Source organism: Homo sapiens, chromosome 16 (genome assembly GCF_000001405.40).
Source record: "Homo sapiens chromosome 16, GRCh38.p14 Primary Assembly".
NCBI classification, from domain to species: domain Eukaryota; kingdom Metazoa; phylum Chordata; class Mammalia; order Primates; family Hominidae; genus Homo; species Homo sapiens.
In genome coordinates, this window is record NC_000016.10 from 16,134,916 (window position 1) to 16,160,446 (window position 25,531).

The 25,531-nt window shown below is 50.2% G+C and overlaps 2 protein-coding genes across 35 annotated transcripts in view, besides 1 other annotated feature; one reads left to right on the forward strand and one right to left on the reverse strand.

Annotated features, from left to right (window-relative positions):
• The window catches only part of ABCC1 (ATP binding cassette subfamily C member 1 (ABCC1 blood group)), a 193,911-nt gene extending 185,773 nt beyond the window's left edge, over window positions 1–8,138 (forward strand). For 26 of the 27 annotated variants that reach the window (XM_047434134.1, NM_004996.4, NM_019898.3 and 23 more), the window contains 3 exons: window positions 1,563–1,729; window positions 3,449–3,643; window positions 6,258–8,138. In XM_047434134.1, the coding sequence (XP_047290090.1) occupies window positions 1,563–1,729; window positions 3,449–3,643; window positions 6,258–6,366 (471 nt within the window). In that variant the 3' untranslated portion in view covers window positions 6,367–8,138. The remainder of the gene's footprint in view (window positions 1–1,562; window positions 1,730–3,448; window positions 3,644–6,257) is intronic. The other variant, NM_001438755.1, reaches the window with a different exon arrangement.
• The window catches only part of ABCC6 (ATP binding cassette subfamily C member 6), a 73,930-nt gene continuing 63,048 nt past the window's right edge, over window positions 14,650–25,531 (reverse strand). For 5 of the 8 annotated variants that reach the window (NR_147784.1, NM_001440310.1, NM_001440309.1 and 2 more), the window contains 6 exon segments: window positions 14,650–15,326; window positions 15,663–15,857; window positions 19,713–19,879; window positions 19,958–20,116; window positions 22,748–22,894; window positions 24,567–24,668. Coding sequence is in view for 4 of the 8 variants with exons in the window: in NM_001440310.1 (NP_001427239.1) it covers window positions 15,218–15,326; window positions 15,663–15,857; window positions 19,713–19,879; window positions 19,958–20,116; window positions 22,748–22,894; window positions 24,567–24,668 (879 nt within the window). In the remaining 4 variants the exon portion in view is untranslated. 8 annotated transcript variants of the gene reach the window in all.
• Window positions 15,417–15,711: a silencer, noted in NCBI's record as "tiled region #15590; HepG2 Repressive non-DNase unmatched - State 5:Enh, and K562 Repressive non-DNase unmatched - State 7:EnhWF". NCBI's record gives its function as "represses a minimal TATA promoter and a strong SV40 promoter by Sharpr-MPRA in HepG2 and K562 cells {active_cell/tissue: HepG2 | K562}" and the evidence as "EXISTENCE:reporter gene assay evidence [ECO:0000049][PMID:27701403]".

Here is a 25,531-nt window from a genome sequence, read left to right on the forward strand (position 1 = left end):
ACAGGCATGAGGCACCGTGGCTGGCCTTCATTGTTTTTATTGAAGTTAGGCTGTGCTGCTGCTTCCCTGAATTTCCTCTTAGTATATGATTAACAACGTGGGAATTAACTGACTATCAGTCCCGACTTCCTGTCCCCGGGAGGGGTAGTTTCAGAGCATCTAGAAAAATCCAAAAAGACACCGTCTTCTCTCTCTGCTGCCAGAGTCAGACTGAGCATCTCTAACCCTTCCAAGAGCTAGACAAGAAATAAGACTTTTTAATTTTCGATTCACGGGGTGCACCTGCAGGCTTGTTACGTGGGTATATTGTGTGATGCTGATGCTTCGGCTTCTATGGATCTCATCACCCAACTATTGAACAGAGTACCCGAGAGAGAGTAGTTTCTCAACCATTACCCTCCTCCATCTGTCCCCACTTATGGAGGCTCCAGTGTCTATCATTTCCATCTTTACAACCATGAGTACCCAGAGTTTAGCTCCCTCTTACAAGTGAGAACACACAGTATTTGGTGAGAAATAAGGATTTTCTTTTTCTTTCTCTTTTCTTTTTTTTCTTTTTTTAACTGAGACGGAGTCTCACTCTGTCACCCAGTGCAGTGGCACGATCTCAGCTTACTGCAACCTGCACCTCCTGGGTTCAAGCGATTCTTCTGCCTCAGCTTCCCAAGTAGCTGGGATTATAGGCACGCACCACCATGCGTGGCTAGTTTTTGTATTTTTAGTAGAAACGGGGTTTCACCATGTTACCCAGGCTGGTCTCAAACTCCTGACCTCGAGTGATCTGCCTGCCTCGGCCTCCCATAGTGCTGGGATTACAGGGGTGAGCCAACATGCTTGGCTGAAATAAGGATTTTCTAGACCAATCCCCGCAGGTGGATTCCTTAATATGTTGCCTTTTAGTGTAATCTTCCCTAAAGTGTCTTAGAAGATTCTCTTCTGTGGTTGGATGACGGGAGAATCCACGGGACTTTACTGTTAGGAATCACCTGTGCTGCGTCTCATTTCTGGAGGTTCTCAACCCACTTGCATATTGAAGGCTCCAGGAAGTTGTATGGAAAGGAAATCTGTTGTATTCTGCCAAACTCAGACTTTCCAGACTTTTTTTTTTTTTTCCATTATTAAGGCAATTTTTTTTTTGGAGATAGAGTCTTGCTCTGGAGTGCAGTGGCACAATCTTGGCTCACTGCAACTTCCGTCTCCCGGGTTCAAGTGATTCTCCTGCCTCAGTCTCCTGAGTAGCTGGGACTACAGGTATGCACCACCATGCCCAGCTAATTTTTGTATTTTTACTAGAGACAGGGTGTTGCCATGTTGGCCAGGCTGGTCTCGAACTCCTGACCTTAAGTGATCCACTCGCCTCGGCCTGCCAAAGTGCTGGGATTACAGGCGTGAACCACCGTACCTGGCCTTTTTCTCCATTATTAACATCTCCAGAAATAGTGATTCCAAGGAGCTCTGATACCCCACCTTCAACAGTCCTGGCCAGAAGTCCTTAGGTCGCCTCCATCCATGTCAGCGTGACACAGGTGTCACATGCCGTCCACTCTCTTCTCTCTGAACAGGACCCTGTTTTGTTTTCGGGTTCCCTCCGAATGAACCTGGACCCATTCAGCCAGTACTCGGATGAAGAAGTCTGGACGTCCCTGGAGCTGGCCCACCTGAAGGACTTCGTGTCAGCCCTTCCTGACAAGCTAGACCATGAATGTGCAGAAGGCGGGGAGAACCTCAGGTAGGCGGGGGTGAACAAGGAGACACCGGGTAAGGTGTCCTAGGCGCCATCTCGGTAGGGGTGTTTGAAGATTCTGTCCAGATCTGTGTCACCTGGATTTGAGTCCCAGATGACCATTTGTCCCTTCACCTCTTGGAGCCTCAGTTTCTGTATCTGTAAAACGGGTCTCAATCCAGGCTCTTTGTACCATGAGGTAGAATAACCAGGATGACCAGTACATTTCCTTTTATACACACCAGCTCCATTCAGTTGATAGTGGCTGTCAGTTGTTAAGCTATGGAAAGTCTTCTGTACCAGTTGGTCACTAGCACTGCTCTGAGCCCCCAGGTCCCCATGCACTACCCCAGCTGTCTTGGTCTCTACCAGGATCCTGGAGCTCTGTCCATGACCCAGCAACTAAAGCATTAATGCCTGGCACACCAGCGGAACCTCTGGGGTCCTGCTTTGGTGGTGTTTGTTAGTGCCTGGTTCTGGTTCTGTTATCCGTCTCCATGACAACCAACCATAAAGCCTCAGGCATGTTCAACCATAAAGCAACGATCATTGCTGCCATACGAGGGCAGTCAGCCAGGTGGCTCTGCTGATCTCGGCTGGGCTCACATGCATGTCTGGGAGTCAGCTGGCTGTTGGCTGATCTCGGGGTCAGCTGGCTTTTGGCCTCAGGTGGGGCAAGAAGGGTATGTTCCGTGCATCCCTCATTCTCCAGCAGACCAGCTTGGGCATGTTGTCATGGCGATGGCAGGGGCACAAGAGCGTGCAAGCCCCTATTGCATCTAACAGTATTCTTTTGGCTGTCCTTACTTTTGCTGGTGTCCCATTGGCCAAAGCAAGGAACATGTCTGATTCCAGAGCCACCTCTCATGGCCCCACAGTTGGATAAGGGATGCATGGGTATGAGGCCTTTTTTTTTTTTTTTTTTTTTTTTTTTTGAGACGGAGGGTCTCACTCTATCACCCAGGCTGGAGTGCAGTGGCGCAATCTCATCTGCAACCTCCGCCCCCAGGCTCAAGCAATTGTTCTGCCTCTGCCTCCTAAGTAGCTGGGATGACAGGTGCCTGTCACCATGCCCAGTTAAATTTTGCATTTTTAGTAGAGATGGGGTATCACCACATTGTCCAGGCTAGTCTCAAACTCCTGGCCTCAAGCGATCCACCCGCCTTAGCCTCACAAGGTGCTGGGATACTAGGTGTGAGCCACTGTGCCCGGCTCTTATTTTTTTTTTATTTTATTTTTTTTAAGAGACAGTGTCTCACTCTGTTGCCTAGGCTGGAGTACAGTGGATTGATCTCGGACTCTAACTCCTGGACTCAAGCAATCCTGCCTCAGCCTCCCAGTAACTGGGACTACAAGAGCATGCCACCACACCCAGCTAATTTGTTTATTTTTGTTTTTGGAGAGATGGGGGTCTTGCTTTTTTGCCCAGGCTGGTCTCAAATTCCTGGCTTCAAGCTATCCTCCCACCTCAGCCTCCCAAAGTGCTCAGATTGTAGGTGTGAGCTGCTGTTTTGAGAATGATTCTGAACCTGCATCTTGCTGAATAGGAGATGTGCTCTGATTGATTAGTGATGTCTGCTGCAGACACAGATGTTGGGAGTGGACATGCTTTCCTGGTCAAGCAACATAGAGTGTCTCCTTTCGCTTCTCCCAGCCTGGGCCTAGGTTCAGGGTCAGGGGTGGTTTGACCCAACACTATCTCCTGGTTTTTTTCTTCCGGTCAAGTGTCGGGCAGCGCCAGCTTGTGTGCCTAGCCCGGGCCCTGCTGAGGAAGACGAAGATCCTTGTGTTGGATGAGGCCACGGCAGCCGTGGACCTGGAAACGGACGACCTCATCCAGTCCACCATCCGGACACAGTTCGAGGACTGCACCGTCCTCACCATCGCCCACCGGCTCAACACCATCATGGACTACACAAGGTGATGCCACTGGCACAGTGGCCTCTAGGCTTTGGGAGTTTGCCTTACTCACTGGCTCACTCATTAATTCATTAATTCATTCAACACTGTCCTTATCCCTAGTGACAGCCCCAGTGGGTGGATCCTCTCTTCATCCTGGATGGTACCAGCTATTTCTTTTTTTTTTTTTTTTTTTGAGACAGAGTCTCGCTTCATCTCTGGAGTGCAGTGGTGTGATCTCGGCTCACTGCAACCTCTGCCTCTGGGGTTCAAGCATTTCTCCTGCCTCAGACTCCCGAATAGCTGGAACTACAGGAATGTGCCACCACGCCCATCTAACTTTTATATTTTTAGTAGTGACAGGGTTTTGCCATGTTGGCCAGGCTGGTCTCGAACTCCTGACCTCAGGCGATCTGCCCGCCTCCGCCTCCCAAATTGCTGGGATTACAGGCATGAACCGCTGTGCCCAGTGGTACCAGGTATTTCTAATATCATCTAGTCATTCATTCACGTCAGCGCACCTGCGGTGTTCCCAGACACTGGGGACTCTGTAGGCTGCTGTCAGACAAAGTCCCTGCCTCCAGGACCAAGTAGCTTATTAGATGGAGGAGACAAAAAATATACAGAGCAATAAACCAACAGGATTCCAGAGGGCAGCAGGTGCTGGGAAGGACGCTTGCCAAGGAGACGGGATAGCGAGTGCTGGGCAGGGCCACTGTTTCCATTGAACACTGCAGGCCCAGTGCGTGGGGCCCACAAAAAGGTTTTATTTTTTTTAAAAAATCAGAAGCAGGCCAGGTGCGGTGGCTCACGGCTGTAATCCCAGCACTTTGGGAGGCCGAGGCAGGCAGATCACCTGAGGTCGATAGTTTGAGACCAGCTTGGCCAACACGGTGAGACCCTGTCACCATTAAAAATACAAAAAGTAGCCAAGTGTGGTGGTGCGTGCCCATAATCCCAGGTACTTGGGAGGCTGAGGAAGGAGAATTGCTTGAACCTGGGAGGTGGAGGTTGCAGTGAGCTGAGATTGTGCCACTGCAGTCCAGCCTGGGCAACAGAGTGAGACTCCATCTCAAAAAAAAAAAAAAAAAAAAAAAGAATATAATCCAACCTGGATTTTATTTATACTAACACAGTCATAAAATAGAATTTCTAGCATTTTGTGTGGAGAAAGCCACCTCCGTAGGCATCAGTGCCGGGGACCACAAAAGTCAGAATGCTGCCATAGTGCCAGGGTCCTGGGGGGTTTTGAGTTTTGTGTGGGTCATCTCTGAAGAGGTGACATTTTAGCTGAGACCTGAACAATGAAAAGGAGTCAGCCTTGAGAAGATCTGGGACAGCGATCTGCAACCTTGTTCTTAAGGGCCGGGGTAGTTTCAGCTTTGTGGGCCACATGGCCTCTCAGCCACTTGACTCCAGTGTTGCCGTGTGAAAGCAGTCATAGATAGTGCACGAATGAATGAGCATGGCTATGTTCCAATAAAACTTTATTCATAAAAACAGGCAAGGGGTCAGATTTGGCCTGCAGGCCACAGTTTGCCAACCTTGGATCTAAAGGAAGAACATTCTAGGCAGCCGGTACAGCCGAATGTAAAAATGAATGCGCTTAATGAATTTGAAGGCTAGCATGAGGAGGCCATGTACCTAGAGGTTGGAATTGAGTGGACAGGGGCAGGAGATTAGGCCAGAAAGGTAGGCAGGGGCTGGATCTTAGAGCACCATGTAACCACGGTGAGAAGCTTGGAACTTACTCTAAGAGCCCTATAAAGCCATTGGAAGGTTTTAAGCAGGGAAGTGACATGAGTTTCTATTTTATTTTATATATTTTTGAGACAGGGTCTCACCCTGTCGCCCAGGCTGGAGTGCAGTGGTGGGATCACAGCTCACTGCGGCCTCAAGTGATCCTCCTGCCTCAGCCTTCCAAAGTGCTGGGATTATAGGCGTGAGTCTCTGCACCCAGCTGACATGATGTTTCTAGTTCACTGAGTACCACCTACTAAGTGGCAGATGCTGAGTTGGTGCTTTTGAAATATAGGACATAGAAATGAGGACAGAAGTGGGCAGTGTCAAATCTTACAGGACCTAAAATATTAGGGGTCAGCCAACTATGGCCCACAGGCCACAGATCTGGCCCCCTGCGTGTTTTTATGAATAAAGTTTTATTGGCACGCAGCCACATCTGTTCATTTTCCTGTTGTCTCTGGCAGCTTTCACACTATAAATACAGCAGAGATGCGTAGTTGTAACAGAAAGCATATGGCCTGCAGAGCCTCAAGTATTTACTATCTGGCCTTTTTCAGAAAAATGTTGCCAATCGTTATTGTAGACTGTGGTAAGATCTTTTTATTTTACTCTGAATGTAATGGAACAGTGAATGTGAACAGTCAACACTGTTAATACCATTCACACCATGATTGATGTGGGGTAGATATTAAGGAGCTGGCCTCATGGGAATCTGACATTGACTAGAAATAGGGATTGAGGGTGAGCAACCAGCTGGAAGGTACTGCACCAGTCCTAGCAAAAAGTGTTAGGGGCCTGACCCGAAGCAGTGACTTGCCCAGGTCAGTTGTCCCAGGGGCACGAGGTGCTCACCCCTCCCCTTCCCCTCATGTCTGTATCCCCTCTCCCTCAGGGTGATCGTCTTGGACAAAGGAGAAATCCAGGAGTACGGCGCCCCATCGGACCTCCTGCAGCAGAGAGGTCTTTTCTACAGCATGGCCAAAGACGCCGGCTTGGTGTGAGCCCCAGAGCTGGCATATCTGGTCAGAACTGCAGGGCCTATATGCCAGCGCCCAGGGAGGAGTCAGTACCCCTGGTAAACCAAGCCTCCCACACTGAAACCAAAACATAAAAACCAAACCCAGACAACCAAAACATATTCAAAGCAGCAGCCACCGCCATCCGGTCCCCTGCCTGGAACTGGCTGTGAAGACCCAGGAGAGACAGAGATGCGAACCACCCAAAACACGCACACCCTGCCCCTGGTGCCCTGAGACAGACACACAGCCTCACGCCCCCAGGAATGCAAGTGGTTTCCTGGTGCTTCCCACGGAGGAGTTTTGGCAGCCAGACTTCTGGAGGAATTGGTTGTATAGAAGATCCTAGTGACCAAATTCAGCCTACTGCCTCGGATCTCTCCAGCCGAAGTCTGTGGACTGCAAGTCTTTGAGATGCTTCTGGCTCCCATCACCTCTAACATCCTTGTCTGGGTCTACCAGGAACGCTTCATTTCCTTGGGGCTGCAGTTTTGTGGTTGAGGGGCCTGGAGAAAATCATTTTCTCCCCTTGGCAGTGTCCCAGGGCCCTGGATGGTCCTCTTACCAACATCTGGTCTTCCAGGCACTCAAAAGCTGGGAACCAGCATCTCAGCGCCAGCTCTACCAGTTCTCGTTTTGGGCCAGAGGCAGCCTCTGCACTCCCACGCCTGTCCTCCTGGAAGGGACCTGGTTGGACTAACGGCTAACCTGGACCTGGAACTGTAGGGCCAGGGGATTGTCTCAGGGCCGACGTTCCACCTGGGGCTTCCCTCCCCACCCACCCCGACTCCAGGCTTTCCCTTTTTTCTTTTGTTCAACATTGTAAGAACAATCAATGCTGTTATTACTGTTCCCACCATGATTGATGTGGGGTAAATATTAAGGAGATGGCCTCATGGGAATTTGACCTTGACTAGAAATAGAGACTGAGAGTGAGCAACCAGCTGGAAGGTACTATGCCAGTCCTAGCAGAAAAATGTGTTAGGGGCCTGGCCCAAAGCAGTGTTGGTTGCTTACAGTGTTGATTGATTTTGTTCTTTTTTCTTACCACCTCTTTTCTTTCCCTCTCATGGTACCTGCTCATGGTTATGAAGCTTTCAAAGTAAAGAACACGAAATACCTCCCAAGTATTACCAGTGGGTACCAAAAAAATGTCCCCTTGAGTCTTTTCCTTGTTTTTAGATGTTAATTCTCTCCCTTGGCATCCGGTTAGCCCCCCAGGGGGGGCAGCATTGTGGAGAACTTGATATTTAGTTACTGATGCTCTTCCAGGACACGAAAAGAACCCATCTTTGAATATCAATGATTTTTTTTTTTTAAGTACTGTTCCGGGGAGAAAAACAGTCTCAAAACTTGAACTTCTTGGGAATAGAAGTGTTGGGCTGAGAAGTAACATTCCCAGGAAATAGTGAGAAGCTCGCCCTGTGTTTGAAACCGTGTTGGTCTCTGTGTTCCTGGAAGAAAACAGGGAAGCAGCATCTTTTAAAGCCTGTTCTTTAAGGTGTCTCGTTAGAGCCCAAAGTGGAATCCGGAAGGCAGCCAGAGCTGAGGCTGCCCCAAGACTCAGACTTGCTAAGAATTACGCCGCCGACTTCAAACCCAGAGAGCATCTTTCTTTTAGGCGAAAACGCATATATTTATTTTTTGTAAGTTATACCATTCTTTCACATTAGATAAACTAAGTTTTGGGGGATCCTTTTGTAATGACTTACACTGGAAATGCGAACATTTGCAGTAAAAAAATATATATATATCTATATATTTTATTTCTTTCTAAAGAATGGTTCCCTTTCCTTTGGGGCCTCGGCGAGGGTTCCAGCCATGTCCTCTGCAGGGTCAGGATGTGGCATCTTCCTGTTTCTGTTCTTTCCTTTTGACAACAAGTCGCCTCTAGTGGGAGCTGTTGCCAGAAAGGGCAAGTTGTAGAGATCACTAGTCAGATGGGGTTTAGTGGGAAGGCGGGACAGCCGCAAGGTGGACGGAGCCCAGGTTTTGGGGTTGGACAGACCCTGGCTTGAGTCCTGCTCTTGTCATTTGCTGTTCTTGTGACCCTGGGGAAGTCACTCAGCCTCTGTGCCTCACTTGCTTTGTCTGTAAAATGAGGCTGATCGTACTTACCCTGTGAGCAGTGATGTGTGCGGTACTCGTAGCCTCGGTCAGGTTCTAAGACACAGGCGAGGCAGAAATCACATGTGGCCAGAACGATCCTTGAAAATCCTGCCCTCCCCCTGCCCTTTTTTTTTTTTTTTTTTTTGCTAGAGGCACGGTCTCACTCTGTTGCCCAGGCTGGTGTGCAGTGGCACGATCATAGCTCACTGCAGCCTCAAACTCCTGGGCTTACGCAATCTTCCTGCCTCAGCCTCCTGGGTAGCTGGGACTACAGGCATGTGCCCAGCTAATTTTTAAAAATTTTTATAGAGTCAGGGTCTTGCTATGTTACCCAGGTTGTTCTTAAACTCCTGGGCTCTGGGGATCCTCCTGCCTGAGCCTCCCAAAGTGCTGGGGTTCAGGCACCTGGCCTGAAAATCCCTTTATGTTAGTCCAGAGAGGCGAGGCTGCGCTGCAGTAACAAATTCGCCGTAAAATCTTCGGAAATGATCACAAGGCTTTATTTCTTGCTCACGCAGTTCTTGGTGAGGGTCAGCTGCCTCTCCAGGGTAGGTGACTTCCCTGTGACAAGTGATCCAGGCTGTCCTGGTTTTGTGACATGGCCTCCCAAGGGTTGGCCTCCAGGTCCCCACAGTGGGAGAAGGGAGAGTGGACGACTCTCACCCACTCTTCTGTGTCTGAAACCGGAACTGACGCAGTTAATCCCACTCACAGCCCATTGGCCAAAATGAGTCACATGGCCCCAACCCAACCACTGCGGGAGCTGGGAAATGGAGCGGTGCCTGTGGAAGAGAAGGATTTCTCCCTTTCCTAACTGATGTGGTTCTGGAGTTTTGGATAGCGGAGTAGTCAGACTAGTGTGTTCGGTTTCTAACTTCGAACTGGGTGAGTCTGGGCAGTAAGGAATGTCTGTATTTGGGGAGCACACCATTTCTGCCACACCTAAAACCATGCACCAAGTACATGTGCAGATAGAACGTTCTAGCACTGCCATTGTTCCCTCAAGCTTTCCTGTCCCCTGATTGAAATTGTTGGCTTGCACTAGGGACTGTGGTGTACAAAGGTGCTCAGGGAAGAGCCGGCGAGGTGGTGACCATTAGAATGAGTAGTAGTGTCTGGGTGCAGTGACTCATGCCCCATTGAAACTGTTGGCTTGCATTAGGGACTGCAGAGTGTGAAGGTGCCTAGTGAAAAGCCAGTAAGGTCATAACCATTAGAATAGGTAGTATCAGCCAGCCGGGCATGGTGGCTCATGCCTGAATGATGTCATTGGCTTGCATTAGGAACCACAGAGTATGAAGGTGCCCAGTGAAAAACTGGTGACGTTGTGACTATTAGAATTAGCAGTATTGGCTAGACGAGGTGGCTCATGCCTGTAATCCCAGCACTTTGAGAGGCTGAGACAGGAGGACTGCTTGAGCTGAAGAGTTCAAAACCAGCCTAGGCAACATAGTGGAACTCTTTCTATATAAAAACTTTTTTTTTGTTAAATTAGAAGTAGTTGAGGCTGGGTGCAGTGGCTGACGCCTGTAATCCCAGGACTTTGGGAGGCTGAGGCGGGTGGATTGCCTGAGGTCAGGAGTTCAAGACCAGCCTGATCAACATGGTGAAACCCCGTCTCTACTAAAAACACAAAAATTAGTTGGGCATGGTGGCACATGCCTGTAGTCCCAGCTACTGGGGAGGCTGACAGGAGAATTGCTTGAATGTGGGAGATAAAGGTTGCAGTGGGCTGAAATCAAGTCATTGCACTCCAGCCTGGGCAACAGAGCAAGCCGAGACTCCATTTCAAAAGAGTAGTAGTTGGATCTACCAGCGGGAATCTTAATAGGGATGTGAGATGTGTTTAGATCTCAAAGCCTGACCCTGAGTCTTAAAATCCCAGGTCAGATCCTAAGCAGTCCCAGAGAGCTCCACCTGGTGTGCATCTGTGCCAGTGTCTTGGGGTGGGGCAGCTGCATGCTCAGGTGGAATCCGGGGCTGAGTTCAAGTTTAATCCACTTTATGAAGAGGAGGCAGAGTGAGGCATAACTCCTCATCCAGGGGAGTGGAAGTACTGTGGAAGGAAGCTCTGTTTTGTACCTACTACGTGCTGGCCCTGGCCTCACTGTGCAGAACTCTCCACATTGGAAAGGATCCCCCCAGACCAGAGAGGCGTAAGGAGGGGGCTGGTGCTTTCCAGTGTTGAACTGTTCATCTGTCCTCACACCCACCATCGGGTCCTACAGCAAATTTGTTTGATTTTCTGCAAAACACCCAGAATCTATCCACTCCCCGTCCTCCCATTGCCACCACGCTGGTCCCAGCCACCCCACTTTCTCCCTGCATCCCTACAACAGCTGCCACAGTGGTCTCGAGGCTTTTGCCCCCAGCCCCCCACACACACATCAGTGTCCTCAACCTGGTGGCTGTAGTGACCTTATGAAAACACGCACTGGCCGGGCACGGTGGCTCACGCCTGTCATCCCAGCACTTTGGGAGGCCGAGGCAGGCAGATCACCTGAGGTCAGGAGTTCGAGACCAGCCTGGCCAACATGGTGAAATCCTGTCTCTACTAAAAATACAAAAATTAGCCAGGTGTGGTGGCGAGTGCCTGTAATTCCAGCTACTTGGGAGACTGAGGCATAAGAATTGCTTGAACTGGGAGGTGGAGGTTGCAGTGAGCCAAGATCACGCCACTGCACTCCAGCCTGGGTGACAGAGTGAGTGACTGATGGTGAGGACACGGGCTCTGAAGCCACACTGCTTGGGCAGAGATGCCACTCATTCTGTTTGTTTTCTCATCTGTCAAAAGGGCCTGATGGTAGTACCTTCCTCATCAAAACGTTCCAGTAAGGGGCCCAGTGAGGTGGCTTCCTCCTCTGGTCCACTGAATGCGTGCGTGGCGGGCATTTAAAGCAGTGTCAGGTATACGTAGTTACGTGTTTGCAGTGGCGAGGTGGACTGTTGAGTTTTAAAGAGTCTACTGGGCGCAGGCACTGACCAGAGAGGAAGTCTGCAGCCTTGATGGATGAAATTCGTGTTCCACCCACCAGCCAGACCCTACTGGCAGCAGCCCATGGCGGGGGTATTAATGGCCTGGGCATCCCCTCTGGCGCGTCTCCAGACTGCCGTGGTGTGGGCCCAACAGCAGTCTCGTTAGCAGGCTGGCAGGTGCCGGTTCCCACGTGCTGGCCGCCTGTGGCCCACCCTCTGCTCCCTGGCACACAGCCTAGGAAAGAGAGTCTGGTGGCCCTGGGTCATCCCCAGCTGAGTTTGCCAAATGCCCACATGGCAGCCCCTGCCTAGGGTCACTCTGCAAGGCAGGTGGCTCAGCTCCAGCCAGAGAAGACAGGCTGCATCTGCCGCCCTTCCTTTCTCTAAAGGACAAATGTGTCCTGTGCAATGACTTTGGTATTACACCCAGAAACAGATCCCCACTCTGTCCTTACTGACTGGGTCAACTTGGCAAGTCATGTCAACCCCTTGAGCCTCAGTTTCCTCACCTGTGAAATGGAGCTAGGAATAGGTAGTTGTGGGTCCACAGCTTTGCAGGCATGACTAGGGGCAGGTCAAGAATGCGGACTTCCTGCCCCACTTTGAAGGTGGTAGAAGCTGCAGTTAGAAGTTTACTCCAGGCCAAAAGGGGCATCACAAAACCTGTGAGGATGGGCCATCAGAAAGTCCCATGACCTGATGGGCGGAGCAGGCCCTGTGTCCTTAAGAAAAGGTGGAGTTCTTGCCCTGCCACCCCTGACACCAGCAAAGCCACTGCTCAAGTATCTGTGGATGATGGATGGCAGCGGGGCAGGTTAGACCGGGGATTCTCAACCAAGTGGGTCTTTTTGTTTTGTGTTTTTTCAGACAGTCTTGCTCTGTCACCCAGCCTGGAGTGCAGTGGTGTGATCTTGGCTCACTGCAACCTTCTCTGCCTGGGTTCAGGCGATTCTCCTGCCTCAGCCTTCAGAGTAGCTGGGATTATAGGCACCTGCTACCACACCCGGCTAATTTTTGTATGTCTGGTAGAGCCAGGGGTTCACCTTGTTGTCCAGGCTGGTCTCGAACTCCTGACCTCAAGTGATTCACCTGCCTCCGCCTCCCAAAGCACTGGGATTACAGGCATGAGCCACTGCACCCGGCCCAACTAGGTGGCTTTGACCCCCTGGGGGATTAATGGCAGTGTCACAAGTCTGGTGGCGGTAGAAGGAGGATGTTATTGGCATCTAGTGAAGAAGAGGCCAGGGGCGCTGCTGAACGTCCTACGATGTGCAGGACATGTCCCCACAGCACAGAACTATCTGGCCCCACGTGTCAATAAGGTTCAGAAAGCCTGGGGGATTGCCTTCTGTGCTTCCACGAACACATATCCATGTATTATGTCATTCTTGCGGCAATGCCACGAGGTCAGTGAGACTCCCTGACTAGCATACATAATGTTAGGATCTAGGGAGTTGTCTAATGTCTCACGCTGCCCTTCCCAGCGATCTATGTGTGGCCTTAGGCTTGGCTACTTTAGACTTAGTCCCTCTTTTCCGGTGCCTGCAGCTGGTTTGGTGAGTCCAGTATTAATATACTGACCGCTGTCAGAAAGAGGAGTGAGGAGGCTGGGCATGATGGTTCACGCCTGTAATCCCAGCACTTTTGGAGGCCGAGGTGGGCAGATCACCTGAGGTCAGGAGTTCAAGACCAACCTGGCCAACATGGTGAAACCCCGTCTCTAGTAAAAATACAAAAATAATTAGCCAGGTGTGGTGGTGGGTGCCTATAATCCCAGCTACCCGGCAGGCTGTAGCAGGAGAATCGCTTGAACCTGGGAGGCAGAGGTTGCAGTGAGCCGAGATCTTGCCACTGCACTTTAGCCTAGGTGACAGAGTAAGACTCTGTCTCAAAAAACAAAAAAAGAAATGTGTGAGGAATGCAACAAGCTGTGCATTGACCACCCTTGGTTACAGCAAGTTCTCCACGCTCAGCCGGGTCCAGCCTTTGGCTGTCAGCAGCATCTGGAGCGGAACTGTGAACAGAAACACTCCAGGTGTTCCGACGGGTGCTGGGGCGCCCCCAGGGAGCTGGAATTTGGTTTTTAGCAACCACATATAGGAAATGAACCCGCCAGCCACAGTATCTCACGCCTGTAATCCCAGCACTTTGGGAAGCTAAGGCCAGCGGATCACCTGAGGTCAGGAGTTTGAGACCAGCCTGGCCAACATGGTGAAACCCCGTCTCTACTAAAAATACAAAAATCAGCTGGGCGTGGTGGTGGGCGCCTGTAATCCCAGCTGCTCCAGAGGCTGAGGTGGGAGAATCGCTTGAGCCCGGGAGGTGGAGGTTGCAGTGAGTCAAGATTGCACCCCTGCACTCCGGCTTGGGTGACAGAGTGAGACTTTGTCTCGGACAAAAAAAAAAAAAAAAAAAAAAAGAACCAAGTCCTCGGGCAAATTCTCCCATTGAGGGCTGTGAAGTCTTGGCTCCTCTGTTGTTTGTTTTGGAAACCAAACTTGCATATTTGACTTTCTCATGCGTGGAGAGGACCCATGCTTGGCATGGGGGGGCACCTGGTTTTTGTGTCCTTGGAGCTCATCTCTGGTGGGGGAGGAGGAGCAGCAGGAGATGCGAGGGCTGTAGTTCTCAGTCCTGGCCGCACATTGGAATCCTATGGGGGAGCTTTAAAATTATACACCAAACTCGGCCAGGTGCGGTAGCTCACGCCTGTTATCCCAACACTTTGGGAGGCCGAGGAGGGTGGATCACATGAGGCCAGGAGTTCAAGACCAGCCTGGCCAATATGCTGAAACCTCGTATCTAATAAAAATTACACAAGTTAGCCAGGCATGGTGGCGCACGCCTGTAATCTCAGCTGCACGGGAGGCTGAGGCAGGAGAATTGCTTGAACCCAGGATGTGGAGGTTGCAGTGAGCTGAGATTGAGCCACTGCACTCCAGCCTGAGCAACAGAGTGAGACTCTGTCTCAAAAAAAAAAAAAAAAAAAATACACACACACACACACACACACACACACACAACTGGAGAACAGAGCATGGTCACTGGGGGCAGGAGCGAGAGTGATGGGTGTGGTCGGAAAATGGTGGTGGCTATTCCGTATCCTCACCCTGGTGTGGATTCATGAGCCTACATGTGTGATAAAACTGCATGGGACAAAATAAACACACACACACACAGGAGTACAGGTAAAACGGGAAATCGAGCAAGATTGTTGTGTCAATGTCAACACCCTGGCTGTGATGCTTTATCCTAGAGTTTTGCAAGATGTTACCATTGGGTGAAATGGGGTACCAAGTACACGAATCTCTCTATATTATTGTTTCTTTAACTGCATGTGAGTCTGGGATTATCCCAAAATAAAAGTGTTAATTTGTAAAAAGTACACACAGCATGGCAGTTCCCAGCCTCAGAGATTCTGATTTAAGGGTCTAGCCGGGAGCCTGGGCATGTGCTTGAGGCCCCCAGGTGAGTCCAGAGTACAGCGGGGCTGAGAGTCGCTGTTGACATTGGCTGCAGGGTGGACAGGGCGAGATGGGCCCTGCCCGGGCAGACCTGTGTATTGCTAGGTCCTTCCGGCTCTGATGCTCTGTGATAATTGGCCACTTTCTCTGCCATTTTCCTCCCAGAGAGCAAACACAGGTCTAGACTCAATATCGTGTGGAGCTATCGATGACCACGGGTCACTTCCATCTCCAGCACTGCAGGCTGTGCGGGCTGGTCCAACTGGGGTACGGTTGAGGGTCCTGGCTCAGACCAGGCCTGACTCCTGGGCCAGTCTGTAAAACAGGCCCTTCTGGGCCAGCAGCTGGGCCGGGCTGCCGCTCTCTGCCACCTGCCCCTTGTCCATGACCAGAACCCTGTGGGGGAGAGGGAGACAGAGAGGCTCTTTGGACACCAGCCCAGGCTCTCGGCAGCTGTGAGAGCCCAGTGTGTCTGCGCTGAGGTTTTCTCCATAGAAGTCCTGCTTTCCATGCGGCTCCCTGGCCCTCACAGCTGGGTTGGAAGCGTGTGCTGGGCGCATGTCCTTGGGCAGCTTTCCCACTTGGCATGTGTTCCCGGGCATTCCTCCCGCTCTGGCCCCATTCAGGACCCCTCCAGCTCTAACCCGAAGCCCAGTGGCCCAGGACTGCCTCCGCCTCCTTCCCCCACCACTGCAGGGCTGCTGTGAGGTCAGGCCGGGGCGGGAGCCTTACCGGGCACAGTCCATCACGGAGCGCAGGCGGTGGGCAATGAGCAGCACAGTGCACTGTGCAAACCAGCTCCCGAGCATGGCCTGCATCTGCAGCTCCGTGCCAGGGTCCACGGCAGCAGTAGCCTCGTCCAGGATGAGGATCTGGGTCTTCCGGAGAAGGGCACGTGCCAGACACAGGAGCTGTTTCTGGCCCACGCTGGGAACGATTGGGACAATTAGCTGGGACGTGCGTTTGTCGGCACATGGTGATGTGTGGGTGTGCCCAGAAACAGGTCCCTGAAGCAGTGCAGGAGTGAGGTGCCTGTGTTCAGGCATCCCCACACATGGGGTCTGGGGTCTGTGGTCTGCAGAACTGATAGGAAGCCTGTTCCTGCCATCTTTGAGCAGGCTGACTGTAGGCAGGTCATTCAAACCCTTTGTGCCTCAGTTTCCCCACCTGTGAAATGGCTATTTTCTTTTTTCTGTTTATGGCTCTTTTTTTCTTCTTCGTTTTTCTTTTTTTTTTTGAGACGGAGTCTTGCTCTGCCACCCAGGCTGGCGTGCAATGGCACAATCTCAGCTCGCTGCAACTTCTGCCTCCCGGTTCAAGCAGTTTTCCTGCCTCAGCCTCCCAAGTAGCTGGAATTACAGTCATGCGCCACCATGCCTGGCTTTTGTATTTTTAAAGTAGAGATGGGGTTTCACCATGTTGGTCCGACTTGTTTGAAACTCTCAGGTGATCCACCTACCTCAGCCTCCCAAAGTGCTGGGATTACAGGCGTGAGCCACTGCGCCCCGGTAGTTCTATTTCTAGTTTGTTTTTTGAGAAATCATCATACTATTTTCCATAGTGACTGTACTAATTTATATTTCCCCCAACAGCGAAAGCACAGCTTTCACTTCAGTCATGCCGTTGCAAACAAACCTACAATGACTGACTGCTGCTTCAAGAATCAAATCTACAGTCTTCCTAAGACATTCAAGGCTGGTGTCACGTGGGCCTTAAATACAGATGTGTACAACACCTGGGTGGGATTCCAGGCGTGATCCACCGTGCCTGGCCTGTTTATGGCTATGTCCAGTTCTATTTCTAGTTTCCACCTTGTGCCAAACACATTCTAAGTGCTTGTATATATTCACTCAATCCTCATAATGTCCACCAAGGTAGATATTATTGTTCTCTTCTTTTGAGAGAAGAGGACACAGATACAGAGAAGCTCAGTGGCTTGACCAAGGTCTCAAGGCTAGTGGTGGGTCCATAATTTGAACCCAAGTCCTCTGACCCCAGAGTCTGTGCTCCTAATGGATCCGTCCTCGCTGAATCGTGACGACATGGCACATAAAAGTGTGTGGGTGGCGGGGCACGGCGGCTCACACCTGTAATCCCAGCACTTTGGGAGGCTGAGGTGGGCGGATCACGAGATCAGGAGATCGAGACCATCCTGGCTAACACGGTGAAACCCTGTATGTACTAAAAATACAAAAAATTAGCCGGGCGTGGTGGCGGGCGCTTGTAGTCCCAGGTACTCAGGAGGCTGAGGCAGAAGAATGGTGTGAACCCGGGAGGCAGAGCTTGCAAGTGAGCCAAGATCGCGCCACTGCACTCCAGCCTGGGCGACAGAGCAAGACTCTGTCTCAAAAAAAAAAAAAAAAAAAAAAAGTGTGTAGGCTTGTCACAGAATAAGCCCTTGGCATGGAGTAGCACCCTTCGTGGAGGGTGGAGGAGTTGAGATTCCAGGTTGTGAGCCCAGTGAGCCCCTGACCCAGGTGGGAACTGACCCCTGGGGCCCCAGCATGGCTGTCTTGCACAGTAAGCCCTTCCATGAAACAGCATCCTTTTACATGATCAGAACCTACTATGGTCATGCAGGCGTTAGAGTGCCTGGGTCTTGTCCCAACCTCACTACTTTTAAGCTGTGTGACGTCAGGCAAGCCCCAGGCCTCCAATTCCAACTCTGTGAAATGATGTTATCAGGAGTGTGACTCAGGACTAAAATGAGTATTTACTCTTTGCTCTATGCCTGCCACTGTTTCAACAACTTTGTGCATATAATTCAATCCTTGCAAGGTAGGTAGGTGCTATTATTCCCACCTTACAGATGAGGAAACTGAGGCACACAAGATAAGTTGCCTAAGATCCTACAGCTAGTAAGTGGCAGGGCGGGGCGGGGGTGGGGGTGTGGGGTGGGGGGCCTGGATTTGAGCCCAGGCAGTCTGTCACCTGTGTATACTCTTACCCACCAAGCAACGCTGCCTCTCTAGTGCTGGAAATTATTGCCTACCACAAGCCCTTCGGACACCCTCAGGGTCAGAGGGGTTTATAAATCCAGAACACCTTAGGTTTTTTTTTGTTTTTTTTGAGACGGAGTCTTACTCTGTCACCCAGGCTGGAGTGCAGTGGCACAATCTTGGCTCACTGAAACCTCTGCCTCCCGGGTTCAAGCGATTCTCCTGTCTCAGTGTCTTAGCCTCCCACGTAACTGGGATTACAGGCGCCTGCCGCCACACCCAGCTAATTTTTGTATTTTTAGTAGAGACGGGGCTTCACCATATTGGTCAGGCTGGTCTTGAACTCCTGACCTCAGGTGATCCACCCGCCTCGGCCTCCCATAGTGCTAGGATTACAGGCATGAGCCACCGCGCCCAGCCACTTTGGTTTTTCTAAAGGCATATACCTATACACCTATGTTCATAGTGGCATTATTCAAAACGGCCAAGAGGTGGAAACAGCCTGGGTATCTACTGGCAGATAAACGGATAAGCAAAATGTGGTCTATCCATGTAGTGGAAAATTATTCGGCCTTAAAAAGGTAGAGAATCTGACACATGCTACGATGTGGATGACCCTTGAAGACATCATGCTGTGTGAAATAAGCCAGTCACAAAAGGACAGATCCTATGATTCTGCGTCTATGCAGTGTCTAGAGTAGTCACACTCAGAGAGACAGGAGAATGCTGGTGGCTGGGCGCTGGGGGAGGGGACAAGGAGAGTTAGGGTTTCATGGGTACAGAGTTGTAGTTCTGTTGTGTAACAGTGTGAATGTACCTAACACTACAGAAACTATACACTGAAAAATGGGTGAGATGGGCCCGGCGTGGCTGCTCACACCTGTAATCCCAGCACTTTGGGAGGCCTACGCAAGTTCGACTGTAGCCTGGGCAACATGGTGAAACCCTGTCTCTACAAAAAATAAAAAGATTACCTGGCCCTGGTGGCTCACACCTGTAACCCCAGCTACTCGGGAGGCTGAGGTGGGAGGAATGCTTGAGCCTGGGAGGTGGAGGTTGCAGCGAGCCTTGACCTCACCACTGCACTCTAGCCTGAATGACAGAGCCAGACCCTGTCTCCAAAGAAAAAGAAAAAAAAAAAAAAAGGTTGAGATAGTAAATTTTATGTGTATCTTTCCACACAGCTTTTTGTTGTTGAGACGAAGCCCAGGATGGAGTGCAGTGGTGCAATATCGGCTCACTGCAACCTTCGCCTCCCTGGCTCAAGCGTTCTTCCCACCTCAGCCTCCCAAGTAACTAGGACTACAGGTGCATGCCACCATACCTGGCTAATACTGTTGTCCACAGAGATAGGGTCTTGCTATGTTGCCCAGACTAGTCTCGAACTCCTGGGCTCAAGCAATCCTCCTCTCTCAGCCTCCTGAAGTGCTGGGATTACAGGCATGAGCCACTGTGCCCAGTCCACACTTGACATTTACCAAAAAAAAAAATCCTATATTATAGTCCCAGTGAGTGGTGAGGTTACCACCCGATATCAAACAATATTTTCATAGCAAAATAAATACTGAGCAAGAGCAATAAAGGCTATCAGTAGCCCTGTGTCAGTTGAGGTTGGGTTTTGCCACCAAGTAAATATAGAAGACTAACTGCTAATTTAGGGGGGAAAACCTTGGTATTCAGAGACTGTGTCAGAGCTTGGAATTGCAGATAAGAGACATGTGGTTATTAATGTAACAGAGTGATAATCCTATCGGGGGAGGCATTTCCTGAAGGCCCTTGGGGAGGGCATGGCCATCCCCTCCTCTCCCACCTGCAGGTCCCAGCCATGGTGGGACGACCATACCTCAGGTCCTCGCCTCGGTCAGCACACTTGTACTGCAGCTGGCCGGGCAGGCTGGCCACCAAGGCTTTGAGCTGCACCGTCTCCAGGGCTGCCCAGATAGCCTCGTCCGAGTGCTCCTGCAGCAGGTCGAGGTTCATCCGCAGAGAGCCAGGGAACAGGATGGGGTCCTGGCGGGGAGGGGCGGTGGGTCAGAGCCGGGTCCCACCATGCCTCCCATCTTTGCCCACCCCCTCCACCAGCCTCACCTGGGGGATGATGCTGATCCTGGAGCGCAGTGTGTGCAGCCCCACGTGGGCAATGGGGACCCCGTCGATCCAGATCCCACCCTCAGCTGCCTCCTGGAGCCGCAGCAGCCCACTGGCCAGGGAGGACTTCCCTGCCCCGGTCCTGCCAACGATGCCCACCTGCCCGGGGTTGGGAGGAAAGGCCTGCTCTGACCAGAGGGTTTGTGGGCATTTATTGGGGAGATCTTTCTGCTGTACCCGAGATCTGTCTATCCATCCCTCATTGTGTAAAGGTCTACCTTCCATCTCTCTTTCCATCTGTCTACCTTTCTATATATCCACCCATCAATCCATCCAGTCTTCCATCTGTGTTCTTCTCTATCTTTCCCTTATCCTGATATCTCTCTCCCATCTTTCTCCCCACCCTTCCTTTAGTTCCTCCATCTTTCCTCATCCTTCTATTTACACCTCTCCATCATCTCTCATCCTTTTTTCTACCCCATCCCATCCATCTGTCTGTCCGTCCATCCATCCCTTATCCTTTTTTCCACCCCATCCTGCCATCCATCCATCCATCATCCATCCTCAATCCCATCCCTCCATCTCTCTTCCACCCCATTCCATTCATCCATCCATTCATCTGTCTATCCGTCTCTCGTTTCTTCTTCCCTATTCATCCATCAATTCACTAATCCTTTCATTCATTTATTTTCTCCCATCCATCCATCCAGTCCATCCTTCCCTCATCCATCCTTCCATTCATCCTCCATCTTATCCATGTGTCCATTCTGTTATCCATCTCCCATGCTGTTATCCACCCTCCATCCTTATCTCTCTTGCTACTATTGCATCCTCAGTGTCTGACACATGGTGTGGGTTCAACATTATTTGTTTAATTAATGATGGAAACATGTGGGTCACCCCACTGTATGCCAAGTACCTGTTTAGGCACCGGAAGTATAGAAATTAAAGAGTCCTTGCTCCAGTGTGCCCATCATCCGGTCTAGGAAACAGTGCAATTGAGTAAATGTAATACAGTGTGATGAACAATGCTTTATTTATTTATTTATTTATTTATTTTTGAGATAAAGTCTTGCTCTATTGCCCAGGCTGGAGTGCAGTGGTGCGATCTCAGCTCACTGCAACCTCCACCTCCCAGGTTCAAGCAATTCTCCTGCCTCAGCCTCCCTAGTAGCTGGGACTGCAGGTGCCTGTCACCATGCTCGGCTAATTTTTGTATTTTTAGTAGACACGGGATTTCACCATGTTGGCCAGGCTGGTCTCAAACTTCTGGCCTCAAGTGATCTGCCCACCTTGGCCTCCTAAAGTGCTGGGATTACAGGTATAAGCCACAGCACCCAGCCAACAATGCTGTTTATTATCAAGGTCTGGACCTCTGGCAATTAAGGGAAGCAAGGCAGTGCTGCTCATGCTGCCTGGGATTTGACAGAGGTAATAAGAGAAGACCTCATGGAGGAAGGGATACTTGCATGGAAGCTTGAAGGATCAATAGGAGTTCAAGGAAGGGGAACACTCCAGGTAAACCACACCAAGTGGGTTTCCAAAACTAGAAGCTCATGGAGCTCACAGCACCATGTGCCCCCCTGGCCGAGAGGCAGCTGCTCCACAATGTTGGCTAAGCCCTGGCAGAGCAATGAATGAGAGGGGGAGGTTGGCAGGGCCTGGGTTGGGTAGAGCCTTGAATGCCAAGCTCAGGAATTCACACTTTACCCCAAGGGAAGCTGGAACTAGTAGAAGGTTTTGAGCAGGGGAATGACATGCAGTGTCATTCATGCTGATAAAGGTCACAGGATGGCTGGGCATGGTGGGTCATGCCTGTAGTCCCAGCACTTTGGGAGGCCGAGGGGGGTGATTGAGGTCAGAAGTTTCATAGCAGCCTGGCCAACATGGTGAAACCCTGTCTCTACTAAAAATACAAAAATTAGCCGGGTGTGGTGGCAGGTGCCTGTAATCCCAGCTACTCAGGAGGCTGAGGCAGGAGAATCACTTGAATCTGGGAGGCGGAGGTTGCAGTGATCTAAGGTCACACCACTGCACTCCAGCCTGGGCAACAGAGTGAGACTCTGTCTCAAAAAAAAAAAAAAAAAAAAATCACAGGAGAGCAGATTGGAGCTGGTGAGACAGGATCCACTGCTTTTTAGGGGACAAGGAGAGGACAGGGAGGAAGCCTCTGTAGGTTCAGAGGGAGGGAGGAAAGGGATTCAGTGAAGGGGCCTGATGAGGCATCTGTAAAATGGGATAGTACTAGCACCTCACTTAGGGGTTGTTGTGAGAGTGAAAACGCAAATAATAAAAGCATTAGTAAACATTTCTGGAGCACTTTCTATGAGCTAAGCATGTTCTATGTATTAACTCAAACTTCACAACAACTCAGAGATCAGTATTACCAGTCCCAATTTACAGATGGGAAAACTGAGACTGAGCTATGAAGTGCTTTTCCCAATGTCTCCCAGCTGAAAGCAAATATCCCATTTGTGCAAACTGGAAAATGTACCTGGAGCATTTAACACACTGCCCAGCACATATTAGGTGCTGGGTTAATGTTAAAGGAAGAAGGAAGTCACGGAGTTGCTTCCTCATCTGGGGACACCAAGGTGGATGAGGAAGTCACCAGATGGAAGCAGGTTTGGGGAAGGTGAGGAGTTCATTTTAGGGGGTAATGGGTCTGAAAGCTAGGGGACCTGAGGTGGGGACACTGTGGAGGTGGCTGGTGCCCAGGGTTTAGGGCCTTGTCCCTGGAGTCCTTTGGCCTAAACTCCATGAAGAAGACATTGTGAGAGAACCACTCACCTTCTCTCCTGCGTGGATCTTGAAGGACACGCCCTGCACAGCCAGCGGGAGCTCAGGTCGGTATCTTAGCCCAAAGTCCCGGAACTCGATCTGCCCGCCCTGAGGCCAGGGGGGCTGAGCTGCACATGTGGGCAGCCTCCAGGGAGCCTGGAGCAGGAGGGGAAACTGAGTCAGAGGAGCCTTCCTCTAAGACTTCACACAAGATGGCCCACCTCTATCAGCTTCAGTTTTCTCTTCCGCAAAATGGACGTATTTATTGCTGTTTTACAGGGTTGTTATGGGAATTCAACAAGAGAGGGCATGGACTATGTCAATGCTAAAAACAGATGGTGGTGGCTACTTTTAGTCTATTTTATTGTTATTATTAGCCACTGTTTATTATAAAATAATCTCTTTTTCTATAGTGGGAGCAGACATTTCTCTTTGTCTTTGTGAAAGGACATGACTGTGCAGTGGGAAGACCAATACTGCCTTTGCTGTTCCCGTGACCTTGAACAGATCATTCTACCCCCTTGAGTCTTGGTTTTCCAATCTGGGAAATAGGGCTAATAAGAGCAGCAGACATGTATTGAGTGTTTGCAATGGACCAGGCACTCTATTAAATCATTTCTTTGCAGGATCTCATTTGATCCTCCCAGTAAACTCAACGCTGTTATGTTACTGTTACATTAGTGCTATGCTGCTGTTCTTATCCTTTCTTCCACCCAATCCCATCCATCCATTCATCCATCCATCTCTTATCCTTTATCCACCCCATCCCACCCATCCATCCATCCATGCATCCATCCATCCATCTCCAATCCCATCCCTCCATCTCTCATTCTTCCATCCCATTCCATCCATTCATCTGTCCATCTCTCACCATTTCTTCTACCCTATTCATCAACTAATTAATTCTTCCTTGTTCTGTTACTGTAATGTTACTGTTATATTGCTAACACATTATATCATGTTGCTGTTTTGTTACCGTTGCGTTGCTATGTTGCTGTTCTGTCCTTATAATGCTACTGTTATGTTGCTGGAATTTTGCCATCATGTTACTATAATGTTGCTGTTTTCTTACTGTTACATTGCCATGTTGCTATTCCGTTACTATAATTTCAGTTATTTTGCTGGAATGTTGCCATCATGTTACTATAATGTTGCTGTTTTGTTACTGTTACATTGTTATGTTGCTACTCTGTTACTCTGTTACAGTCGTGTTGCTGGGATGTTGCTGTCATGTTATGATGTTGCTGTTGTGTTACTATTGCATTGCTATGTTGCTGTTTTGTTTCTATCATGTTACTAAAATGTTGCTATTACGTTACTATTACATTGCTATGTTGTGGTTGTATTGCTGGAATGTTGCCATCATGTTACTATAATGTCTCTATTATGTTACTATTACACTGCTATGTTGCTATTCTGGTACTGCAATATTGTGGTTATGTTGCTGTTACATTACTGTTACATTGCTGTTGCATTACTCTCATGTTCTGGAATATTGCCATTGTGTTGCTGTTGCCATTATGTTACTATCATGTTGCAGCTATGTTGCTGTTGCAATGCTGTTCCTTGTGGTTCCCTGCACTCCCATGGGTGACCTGCTTTCCTCAAGCTCAGAAGCAAAGGAACCAAGATTTGGCCTGGCTCCAAACCTTATGCTCCTAACCACTGCTGCCACCCTGTCTGTGACTCTGACCTATAGTGGTGGGGGTTGAGTGAGGGGAGAAGAGGGTATAAACTCCAAAGCCTGTAGCAGATGTCAACAGGGACCCATTGCCCCCCCCCACAATATGTCCTTGCTGGGACCCCCTCCCCACCTCCCGCCCATCACCTCCTTGGGCGTCCAGGCATAGTCCTGCATCCGCTCCACTGACACGATGCTGTTCTCTAGGTCTGTCCAGTTGCGAACAACCCACTGCAGTGTCTGGGTCACCTGGTGCAAGAAAGCCTCTCTGGCTGGGTTTGGCAAGGCCACTTGAGGGCTTGCAACAGCCCCCCTGGTTTCCCAACCTTTTCTGGGAGGCCAGACCCAGGGGAGTAAAGAGGGGAGGCAGGAATGGGACAGTCTGAGGACCTGGGCCCAGGGGATTGGGATTTGGATACAACCAACAGGTCCCTCTCTTCCTTCAGTAGAACCAGAGCATGCAGAGCAAAAAGAAGCCCTCAGACATCAGCTTGTACAAACTGGCTTGATGCAGGTGAGTAGACAGGATCAGAGAGGGTGTGTGGCCCTCCCAAGGACACACAGCAGGACCCAGGCCCACTGATTCCATTCTGACGGCTTTCTCGCAGCGACTGGGTGGCCACCAATTTCCCATGACACTTAGAACCACTCCAAGCTCCTCCCTATGAGCCATTAGCAGCTCTAGCCCTGCCATCCCATCCCCAACCTTGTCTCCCAGCACCCCTGCCTTCACCCACCCTCTCCAGCCACACCCGTCTTCTTGCTGTTCCTCTAACACACCAGGGATGAACCTTCAACTCCCAGGCCTTTTCTTCCTGCTGTTAACCTCACTTCCTCCTAAGTCACCTCCTCAGAGAGGCCTTTCTGGATGCAGTAGGAAAGTTCCCTCACTGCCACCCAACATGCTCCAGCCTCTTACTTCATCCTTAAGCTTAGCAGCCTTGACTGTAAAATGAGGATAATAACAGTGCTTCTCTGATGGGGTTGTGGGCAGTATTAAGTGAGTTAATATTTATAAAATTCTTGTGCACAGTGGCTCATGCCTATAATCCCAGCTTTTTGGAAGTCTAAGCAGGAAGATTGTTTGAACCCAGGAATTGAAGGCTGCAGTG